The sequence below is a fragment of the Homo sapiens genome, chromosome 18 (assembly GCF_000001405.40).
Source record: "Homo sapiens chromosome 18, GRCh38.p14 Primary Assembly".
Taxonomy (NCBI): Eukaryota; Metazoa; Chordata; class Mammalia; order Primates; family Hominidae; genus Homo; species Homo sapiens.
This window is the reverse complement of record NC_000018.10, coordinates 39,740,350-39,752,609: the sequence shown is the minus strand read 5'-3', so window position 1 is coordinate 39,752,609 and position 12,260 is coordinate 39,740,350. Positions and strand designations below refer to the sequence as shown.

The window sequence follows — 12,260 nt, the reverse complement described above, 5'->3', positions numbered from 1 at the left end:
GGTGTCCGAGGGTGGTGAGGAATGCAGTGCATGTGGATAACAGAGTTCAATTGTTACTTCAAATAATCTGGAACTATTCAGATCACCTCAGTCACTATTTGAGGACAAGAACAATGAGCTGGGAACTATGTGGGAGAATTGTGGCTGCTGAAGTTCTGCTCACAGAACAAGTTTTTTACATTAATAACAAGGGGTTTCACCATCAAACCTTTGAGCTGGAAGACTGGTTTTCTGAGTGCATTTTTAAAGAATACCCATTGGAGATATTTGCTACACAATGTACAATAATTTGACATTCTTTGAAGCAGCCAACAGAAGAGAAGGATCAGAAAGATACAAACTTTTAAGACATTGCTCATTCTAGCTTACTTTGAACTTTAAAGCCTCTTTTTCAGTGATAACAGGGTCTACAATGAACGATCAAACTTGGAAATCACAGCTTGAAATGCCCATCCAGATGAAGTCATGCAGAAAATGAAACAAATCTGGCAGAACAAGACTGTGGTCAGAGAAACAAGACAATGTCAAAGAAAAGGGCAACAAGTAGATAATCAGTACCGATTTCTTTTCTTTCCTCCAACTCCCTCTTGCTCCCATGACCCAGTTTCTTGTCCAAAGGTAGGAATCGTAAGAGTGTACAGAAATAAGTCACATGCAGACCATATTGAAATACGCAGAGAATTCCATGGAGACTCTGATGGCTAGGTAAGCTCACTTTAGCTGCACACCCACTTCAAGAAGGTGAAGGAGACAATTCTGGGATAATAAAGATCTAGGAAGTATGTATCTGCCATATATAAGTCAGAGGTTCAGAATCAAGACAAGTGATGATGAAAGATGTCATGGTCCTCCTAACTGATTCAGAACATCTGTGTATGTCTTTCTTTTCACCTAGATTATATATTTGTTGAGACGAGGAGTTATCTTAGAGCTCTTAATGTTACCCCCAGTACCTTGTACTTATGGGGCATTTGATATGTGAATTTATTTTAGTAACTGTTTTTGCATGTATGTGTATCTCTGTGTGTGTTTTGTTGTTATTTGCTAATGAGCATTTAATATTAGATGATAATTTTTTCCCCAATTAACTGGTATTTATGGAGTTTTAAGGGTGTTTTTTTTTCTAGGCCACTGAAAACTTTCCAACCAAGGAAATTTTTTCTCATCTTGCCCTATCTAGCTACATTTTGAATATTTCCTTGGCAAAAATCATTAAGAATGACTCATTTCTCTAATTCTTCTTTTCCAGGGCACCGTTGAGCTGTTGCAACTGTTCTGCTGGTAAGTGCTTTTATGTGCTTGAGAGAAGTGGAGTGGAAACTAATTTTTCTGTGACCCATAATTTTATAATTTGTATTTTTAAGAAATAATCCATTTTCAAAGTCACTCTCCCTTAAGTCTTCATCTTTTGTTCTAACTTACTTCCTGTATTAGATTTGTCTTAAAATTAAATGAAAAGTAGAAGAGAAAAAATAGTAAAATCTCAGAAATAAACATAGAGCTTTTTAAAATATTAGAGCTGGGGACAAACTTGTTTGATACCTGGAGACATAATCTTAGGTTGAGTGGCTTGTTTAACATAACATGGTTGTCTGCTAATGGTTACAACAGAATTCAAAATTCCTAATTGTTCAGTGTATTATCTAGTAACTGATAGTGGCTAATTCCTGCCATGAAGTAAATAGAAAATATAAATATATCTTAGGTACTAGAAAAACAAACTCTATTGAGGATGGTTTTATATTTGCACGTTATTATGTTATGGAATACAATTATACAAAAAATGTATATTATATAATTTCATACAATTTTATAATAGCATTTAATGTTAAATGTGCTTTCATATACATTCTCTTTTGCATCTTTTTCCCATGAAATTTATCTTTTTATTATTCCCAGATTAAGCCTCATAAATATAAAATGGTTAATAAGTGATGAATCTGAGATTTAACTTTAGTTTTTAGTTTTTTTCTCTAGGAATCATGCCCAAAGACCCAGATTTCACCAGTTTTCTGGTGGAACAAAGTCTGTTAACTTTTATTCATGTCCTTGAATGGCCTATGTCCACATTCTTTCTCCTCAGGAGGTAGAGATTAGTTCTCTGCAGACTCCACAGCTAGACTGTGCATCTAGAATTATTTAAATGAATGTGTGAGGTGGCATCAACCCTTGACTTCATTCCAAACTGTAGCTGACCTTCACTTATATTGACCTTATTCTAAATTGGTCTATTTTTTTAAGTGAATTTAATGCTATCTGTTAAATTTATACAAATAGTTGGCTAGGTTTTTTGTTTTTTGCTTGTAAGAACCCAAAGAAGTAAACCAACAGGAAAAATAGATAAAAGTGAATGGAATTATATTTCTTGGATTTCACACTGAGTGGGAATTCATTTAATACATTTAATGGATGTTATCTTTGTTTTGTTTTGCTGTCACACAACACCTGAGGCTGGGTAACTGACAAAGAAAAGAGGTTTATTTAGCTCATGATTTTGTATGCTGGGAAGTCCAAGAACATAGCACCACATCTGACTTGTTTCTGGGGAGGGCTACATGCTGGATCAAAACACAGCAGAGAAGTGGAAAAGTGAGTGAGTGTGTGCAAAGAGATCACGTGGCAATAAAGGAAGCAAGAAAGAGTAAAGAAAGTGAAGCTCACTTTTATATCAACTTGCTCTCTAGTAACTAATACGTCTGTGAGAGCAAGGATTCATTCACTCCCATGGGAGGGCATTCATCTATTCATGAGACATCTGTTCCCATGACGCAAATATTTTGCACTAGGACCTACCTCTCAACATTGCCAGACTGGCAATTAAGCTGCAGCATGAGTTTTTGTGAGGACAAACCACATCCAAACCATAGCATTCTGCTCCTGGCCCTCTAAAACTTATGCCTTTCTTGCTTTCTTGGGTATAAAAATATAATCATTCTATCCCAATAGTCACAAAAGTGTTAACTCATTCCAGCATCAACTCAAAAGTCCAAAGTCCATGTGTAAGCCTGTAAAATCAAAAACAAATTATTTACTTCCAAAGTATAATAGTTGTACAGTCATAGGGTAACTACTTCTATTTCCCAAAAAAGAAATTTGTCCAAAGGAAGGAGTAATAGACCACACACAAATCTGAAACCCAGCAGGGCAGACATTAAATTTTAAAGCTCTAGCATAGAGCTTTCATTCCATGTGCTGTCTCCAGGACATACTGGAGCAAGGGGCAGATGTCCAAGCCCTCAGGGAGTCCCATACCCATAGCTTTGCTGGGTGCAGCCCATGTGATTACTCACAGGTTAGAGTTCTGTGCCTGTGGCTTTTTCAGGCTAGAATTATATCCTGGTAGTTTTACAGTTCTGGTATCATGGCAGCAGCCCGTCTTCAATAGCTCCACTAGGCTTATGGCTCTGTGGTGGCTCTGGCCCTGTGACAGGTTTTTGCCTGGGCTTCCGGGATTTTTAGTACACCTTCTGAAATCTGGGTGGAAGCCACCAAGCCTCCATAGCTCTTGAATTCTGTGCATGTGCAGACTTAACACCATGTGAAAACCACCAAGACTTATGGTTTACACTCTCTAGAGTGGTAGTACAAGTCATACCTGGGACCGTTTGAACCATGGCTGCTCCAGGGAACAGTGTTCCAAGGTGGGGCAGGACAGCAGCAATCTGGGCCTGTTCCCCAAAAGTGTTTTGTCCTCCTAGTCCTCTAAGCCTGTGATGGGAGGGGTGGCCTCGAAGAATTTTGAAATGCCTTCAGGGCCTTCAGGGCCTTTTTTCATTGTTCTGATGCATAGCACCTGGTTCCCTTTTATATATGATAATGTTACTAAGAGTAAGCAGTCTGTTTGGCTGCACCCTTGGGTTTCTCTCTGAAAATAGTCTTTTATTCCCTATCAGATAGCCAGATTGCAAATTTTCCAAATCTTTTTGCTCTATTTCCTTTTTCTCTAGAAGCTCGCTGTAAGTAGTTAGAGGTAACAATGCAGCAGCCTGAGCGCTTTCTTGCTTCAAAACTTCTTCCACCAGATGCACTATTTCATTACCCTTAAGTTCAGCCTTCCACAAACCCCTAGAGCATAGACAAAATGCAGCCAAATTCTTTCCCATAGTTAAAAAGGATGAACTTTCCTTCAGTTCCCAATAAGTTTTTTATTCATTTCCATGAAGAGACTTCATTAAAACAGCCTTCACCATTTATATTTCTTTATTATTTTTTAAATATTTAATTTATTTTAATTTCTATTTTATCATCTATAATTCTAGCAGCATTTTGGTCACAACCACTTAACCAATTTCTAAGAAGTTCTAAACTTTTCCTCACTTTGTTGTCTTTCTCTGAACTCTCACCACAATCACCCTTAATGTTGTATTTATGGCAATTCAGGCTTTTTGTAGTCTGCTCCAAATTTTTCCAGTCACTACTCCTTAACCAATTCCAAAGCTGCTTTATAGTATCTTTATAGCAGCATCCCACTCCTCAGTATGAATTTTCCCTCTTAGTCTGTTTTGTGTTGCTATAACAGAATACTTAAGCTGTGTAATTTACAAAGAAAAGAGATTTATTTAGCTCACAATTTGTGAGCTACAGGCTCACAGCTACAGGCTGGGAGTTCAAAAGCATAGCATCTCATCTGTCCAGCTTCTGGAGAGAACCACGTGCTGGGTTGAAACATGGCAGAGAAGCAGAAGAGTAGGCAGGCATGTGCAGAGAGATCCCATGGTGAGAGGGGAAATAAGAGAATGTCTAGGAAGCCAAACTCATTTTTATCACAACCCGACCTCTGGTAACTAATTTAGTCTCATAAGAGTGAAAATTCACTAACTTTTATGGGAAGGCATTAACCTATTCATGAGGGATCAGCTTCTGTGAGCTAGACACCTCCCATTAGACCATACTCCCCAACACTGCTTCACTGGCCATTAAACTTCAACATGAGTTTTAATGGGGACAAACCACATCCAAGCCATAGCAAATGTCATCTTCCCTAATAGATAGAATTCTTAATCTGGGAGGAGCCATTCACGGTGTATTTGGGGAATATTAAATACTTATGCATTAAAAATTACAATAAAATATAATCAGATGAAATTCAATGTTGACTATTCCTAATTTTTCTCTTTTAAGGCCAGAGTTCATGTTATCAGAAAGTACACTATTGGGGTCCCTCTGGTTTGAAAACATTGGTTAAAATATTATTGTCTCCTCTAAATAGTTGTTGAGTACCTCATATGTGTCATGCACTATGAGAGGAATAGGGAGTCTGAAAGAGTTTCTGCACAGAACTTTCTGTTCAGGGGGTGGTGGTAATTACTTCTCTTAAGGAGATTAGGATCTCTCAAAGAAAGCAGAGACATATATAAGCAATTACTTCATATTATGGTTAGTGATATGATATAATACAGCAGGGACTCCAAAGGAACCCAAAGAATAGACACACAATCCAACAAGGGAGAAAAACTGCCGAAAAATTTCTGGAAAAGAAGACCCATGCTCAAAAGCCTGGGGGACTGTTGGTCATTCTAGCAGAGGGATCACTGTGGACAAAGTACAAAGGACATAGACAAACCCTGAGAAAATAAAAGGTATTTCAGTGAGTCTGGAGTACAACACGCAAGGAGGAAAGTGGTGCAAATTAGGTAGGACTAGACATGGGGGAGATCTGACCTAAATAATGATAAAGAATAGAATTGTAGATACTCGGAAGTTGGAAGAAAGAGGACTTTCTGATTCGTTGAATATTAGTGGCAAGTCAGGAATCTAGGGTGAGCTTTACTTTTCTGACTCAGATAGAGGATAATTTGCTGTGCCCTTGACTAGGAGTGGGAATATGGTAGCAGGGAAAAAAAAGATCATTTCAGAATCTAAAAGTGTGCAAGGATTAGTGTTGCTTGAATTGCTCTAAAATATCCCCAAGACAAGCAAAAGGAAAGCATGTATAAACATGTTTTTATGCTCCACAGAAAACATTTTAAGAGTTTCATCCTGCCTGTGACCTGAAAGTGTGTGAACGTGAATGTAGACGTTTAGAGTCATTCACATAGGATTATTCTACCATTGCATTGGAAGGTGAAATGTTAGCATCTCTGTCTGAATAAGAGACATCTCTCTAAACACGAGTCTTCCTTTTTAAAAATATGGGTAAAGCCCTTGTGTGACTCCCAGGCACAACAGAAATCAGATATGTTGTTGGCAGGAAACCGGCATAAGTACAGACCCACAGAGTTTGTTGTTTTTGACACTGCTTCTTGGGAATCTAACATGCGCTTCTCATTCCTACTAAGAGGCTGTCTGGTCCCTGAGGCTTTTCTGATCAACCCAATTGAACAAGATAGTCTCCATCCTCTGAAGCCCATGAATAATATGTGTCATTCTTAAACCTTTATCATGAATTTCTTTGTGTTGTAGCTGCTTTTTGTTTTTCACTTGTATATGTCTTGCCTGTCTGGTAGCCTACTTGCTCTTTGAATCTAGTTATAATTTCTATACAGAACTCATTGGATCTTTATATCTGGCCATATAATAGATACACAATTAGACAGAGGATTTGGGCACTCATACTGGGAAATGTCATCAGTACTTCATATAGCTTCTTTAAAAGGTAACAGTTTTAATGAAAATACCAATCAATCTTCATGGCTGTTAAAGGGCATTGCTGCTGTGTCTTAATAAATTTAAATGATCAGATGTTCTTTAAGAAAATCTTGCTGATAGAAGAAGCCTAGTTATTTCAATAAAAGTATTAGACAATGTTCTGGTGTAAGAACAGAATTAAGAACCTAATTATAGTTCAACTATGCGGTAGTAGGCTACCTAATTTATAAAATTGATGCGTTTCAACAGGCATGGCTTTTTCTACTCTGTGTGAGAGTGCATGTGGTGTGTGTCCGTGTGTCTGTGTCTCTCCATTTATAGCATTGAACTGCGTTTTACTTTAATTTGAAATAGCTCTGTGTTAAGAGGTGTTGTGTGTTTGATGCTGTGGGCAGGCTGGTAAGGATTTTGGCAAAGATACATTCCTAAAAAGGGATGGTAACTGCATTATTGCACTGTACTTCAAGGCCCTAAGACATAATATAAATAAAATAAATTTAATTTATTAAAACATAAATCTATTCTGCCTACCTTGTACTTTCTGAAGTAGTCAAATATTCAGGATGGGATACTTACAACAAAAAAGGAGAACATGTACTGAATGGGCCAATGAAATAATAAAATTCGGAATGACATCCACTAGGTCAATCTGCCACCAAACGTTTGCCAATTGCCCACTTTGATGTTAGCTTTATATTTTGCACCATTTGGATTGCCAGGAAGGCAAAAAAAAAGTTTTTTTCCCTCAAAAATCTCTATAGCATTTCTCGGATATTGATGCTGATAGAAAGCAAAAAATTGAATGTAAATAGTATAAGAGATATAGAAAGAAATTAATATTAATTGAGAATACATTAAGTGCCAAGAAAAAAAAAGACCATTTAGTTCACATATACAGTATAATTAAACTTTATACTGAGGAAACTGAAACTTATTTGATTAGATAAGTTACTCAGATTCAGAAAGCTTGACTTTTCTGCTAACTAGATTGCCTCAGTATAAGGGCTAAACTCCACAGAAAGGGAAGCGGGAGATACCATATACACTGTTATTAGACAAATCTGAATTTGATCAAAGTCCCTTGTTTTTCCAATTAAAAAAAGAGCCAAATGAAATATTTTGCCCAATTTAAATAATTAAATGCAAGATTTGGGGGCTGTAACATAAATATTCAAAAGTCTACTTAAAACAGTTTAATTAAAACTTAGTATTATATGCTTTTTTAATGTTACATATTTAAAATGTGTTTATCTGGTGATATTGCAGTTTTCCACTCTCAATTACGTGAAAGAATTTTATTTAAACTACTCTTGGTCATCTTTAATGTTATTAGCTTCACTAGAGCTACACATTAAGTCATTGGATACACTTAAATTTTCCAAGGCTTACTATATTTATGGATGTCTGATATGTTTGAGATAGTGATTTTTTGTATATAAGTATTTTTATTTTCAAACAATCTCAAATTTTTGCAGGTACAATGCAGCATCTTTTCTTTTCCTGAACCACTTGATAGTAATTTTTTAATTAGATTTCCCAATACCCCTGGTAACTTCAGTGTATATGTTTGTTTTTATGAAAAAGGCATTTTTCTATATCAGGAGTCAGTGAACTGTGGCTCACAGGCCAAACCTCACCTGCTACCTGTTTTTGTAAATAAAGTTTTATTGGAACACTTCCACATTTATTTGTTTACATGTTGTATGTGACTGCATTTATACGACAGTGGCAGATTTAAGTAGTTGTGACTGAGGCTGTATGGCACACAAAGCCTAAAATATGTACTCTGGATCTTTACAGAAAAAAGTTTGCCAATACTTGTTGCGCATAATATAGTACAACCATGAAAACTAGAAAAGTAACATTGCTGCATCACTACTTACCACCTAATCTGTAGACTCTAGTCAAGTGTCTATAATTGCCCCAGAAATGCCCTTTAAGCAATCTTTTTCATTTACCTTCCATGTCTCTTTGGTCACATTCAATCTAAAATGCCTCCATGAAAGCCTTTCTTTGACTTTCATGACTGTGACACTTTTAACCATTATAGGCCAGTTATAGCAATTTGGGTTTCTTCTGAGGTTTCCTTGCAGTAGGAGTCAGGTTATGCATCCTTGGCAGGACTGTCACAGACAGACCCACCTGCTGGGTCCTTCCCATTGCACCCTTTCATGTGTGCTCAATTTGATCAATTGATTAGGGTGGTGTCCAGCAGACTGCTCCACTGGGATATTACTTTTCTTCTCTTCATATTTACTAAGTATTGTGTATTTTCACACAATATATTTGAATATATATTAGATTATATATAAATGTGTTATACATTATATAAATTTATTATATATAAATTATATATAATATAATGAATATAATATGTATATAAATATAACTTTATATAACATTTATTATATAATACATTATATATTAGATATATTTATATATAATATTATATATATGTTTATATATTGTCAGAGCATGTATGTATGTGTTTATGTGTGTCCCCAGGATTTGATGTGGTGAAGGGAGCTTAGTCATTACTTATTCTACTTCTTCAAAAAGGTATTTGCCTTAAACTGAAAATTATCTGAAAAGCAAGATCTTTTTTAAGATTAAATAAATAACAGTTTGCTTATTGTGGCATTTCAGACACTGAGACAGGTGGTACATAAGAATCATGATGACTAAAATATCAAACCACTGTATCATTTAATGAATCCTTTTAACTTCATTAGGTGTATATTTAATGATCCCTATTCATGTGGCACCTGTTATTTGTAGCCCGTAAGACAAATACATGAGAACATGTCTGCACATCACCATACAGCTCTAAAGAAACTCCTGTCCTCAAGTCTGAGCCTTCTGTGTTTTTCTTTTTAAACTCATACATACCCATCACTTCCATTACCACCTCTCATAGATAATAGTTGCTCCAAAAACATTTGTTAAATAAATGACCAAAGAATGAACGAATGATTATACACATGCTAAGACTGGCCTTACAAGCCAGCATACTATATTTTGCAAAAGTACTTCTGACTAATTCTTTGGAAACTATATGTTGCACACACACTTGAGAGTTATTGAAAAGCTGCTATATAATTAAAAATATTGATTCGTAGAAACATAAACCTAGAAGGGACAAATAAGCCAACTTTCATTTGGTCTGCGTCTACTGCACTTTAAAATGGAAGTTTATTTTTAAAAATCAAATAGGTTGTTTGGCACCCTGCAAAATAAAAATCATTGACTAGATTATTTTTTAAAAATCAATCCATTATCTTACAGTTGTGTAGACAAACACTTAGAGATTTCAGACAGGTAAACTAAAACATAAGCACACACTCAGCTGTATATCCTGAGATGCCCAGGGCCCAGAAAGCACACAGCATTTCTTTGTTAGCTCTTTGGTGAGGCTTACACACAGGAAGTTAAGGCTAAGGTTTTATATTTTTTTCTCTTTATCTCTCAAAGATATTTTAAATTTATTCTTCCTCCCTAAATTCTGCCCTAAATCAGAAACATTCAGGGAAAACCAATCCACAAGCATTTTCTTTTAACTTTTTCTGTGTTTCATCCATCTGTGAGCTAACTAGAATGAATTCCAAAGGCTTGGAAAGGATTAGGTTAAGATATAATCTTGAAAATACTTAATAAACATAGGGAACTGGAACACATAACATTCAGCCAGGAATCCAACTGACTTCTACTCAAAGTGGCCCCCTACGATAAGCCTACAGACTTGCAGAGCATGAATCCACAGATTTGATTATATTATCCCTCCATTTCCCTAGCCACAGGGGTAAAGCTTTTGCCTGCATGTCTCAGTGCCAATCCAAACAATGATATGACTTACCACTTACAGCCATGGCGCGTATTCCTCATCAGAAAGCTTTATGAATGGGAGCTCATTAATCAAGCAGTCATCCCAAGAGGCAGAGCAGAGGCAGAATCTGAGCTTGGAAGGTGTCCGGAAACTGCCAGGTGCAGAAGCATGCATTTACTCGCTCGTTCATCAGTGCCTGGATGTCAAAAGGGCTTTCTAAATAACTATGCTGAGTAATGCTCCAATTCTAGTTTCTGCATTTCTGCATATTTCACAGCCTGTGCCTATCAGCTCCAAGACAGATCCTAACCTTTGCCTTTAGACGGACATCCATTTGAAATCCGTCTTTAGCAAATATTAAGTTTGTGGGTTTGGACAACTTAGTTGAATGTTTTGATCATTAATTTTCTCATCCATAAAACCAGGATCTTTATTTTCTAATGTTGCTGAGAAAATTTTATAAGGTGACGTAAGCAAAGAACCTACCAGGGTCTGGTTACATGCCTGGCTTTCTATTAATTCTTTAAGAAAAAGTGTGTTATAATTGCTTCCCTGAAGCACTCTCATATCTCTGTTATTTTGGTCACATCATCATCATCATATCTCTTTTATTGAGTGTGACTGTTTGCCATGCTATTGCATGTGTGGGGAATGTGTGTATGTTTATGTATGCATGTATATATGTATGCATAGTAAATCACCTTTATGTATGCATAGTTAAGAAACCTGGAAGGGACTATGATTTATGTGATTTATTCATGTTAAGCAAATAATATTCACATTAACTCTGTGAATAAATATTGTTCTCATTTTACAGCTGAGGAAACCAAATCTGAAAGAGATTAAGAAACATGAGCAGTATCAAATGACTAGACAATGTCTCAGCTGAATTCAATCATCTTTTTAAACTCCATCTACCTGCTCTATCTGACATTAATAAACATTCCAAGAAGAATGTCTGCAAAGAGGAGAGACTGAGAATTACTAGCCACTCAATTAGGTCACTTAACATCTTATATTAGCTGCTCATTTCATTTGGGAGCAAGGAGAACTGGGTTCTCATTCTTCAGCCAATGAGCTGGAGAAACCTGGACAAATAATTTAATTGCTTGAGGCTTAATTGTCCAATCACTGAAATGTAAGAAAATAAGAAATAATCTTTAAATTTACTTTCAATTAAATAAAACACTGATTGTTAATACATATTTGAAAATATACTAGAAACTGAACGTGCAAATTAGGATAATGAATTGCACTCTAAATTTAAAATGCAAGAAATGATGTATTTTATTTCTTATTTATACATATATATTATTTCAAGAATTATAAATCTCAACATGCTTTCCATATAATAAAAATGTTTAATATATGTGTATTGGCCCTTGTTGTATGCAACCATTTTCCATCAAAATGTTCATCTAAATGTTCACAACCACTCAGTGAAGAAGACATGGCAGGTGCAATGCCCCTTTTGAAGATGAAAACACCAAGTCATTGAGAGTTTGAATGAGCTCATGTTTGTGAATATATTGTGTCTTCCTTAGGACTAAATTACTACTGTAGTGAGTTGAATAGTGTTGCCCCCCTCCACAAAAAAAAGCCTTCATTTCCAACTGAATTTTCCTAATGTGACCTTATTTGAAAATAGAGTCTTTGCGGATGTAATTAATTGGTGTAAGATGAAGTCATGCTAGATTAGGGTGAGACCCTAAATCTAATGACTAGTGTCTTATAAGAAGAGGAAAAGAGACACAGACACACTGGGAAAGATATTATATAATGAGGGTGGCAAAGATTGAAGTGATGCAACTGTAAACCAAGGAATGCCAAGGGTTTCCAGCATCCACAA

At 36.0% G+C, this 12,260-nt stretch overlaps 1 long non-coding RNA gene across 1 annotated transcript in view; it reads left to right on the top strand.

The window, feature by feature from the left end:
- The first annotated feature begins 614 nt into the window (after positions 1 to 614).
- Positions 615 to 12,260, top strand: part of MIR924HG (MIR924 host gene) — a 545,072-nt gene continuing 533,426 nt past the window's right edge. Inside the window, exons 1-2 of the long non-coding RNA NR_024391.1 lie at positions 615 to 705; positions 1,250 to 1,281. This is a non-coding gene — a long non-coding RNA (MIR924 host gene). The remainder of the gene's footprint in view (positions 706 to 1,249; positions 1,282 to 12,260) is intronic.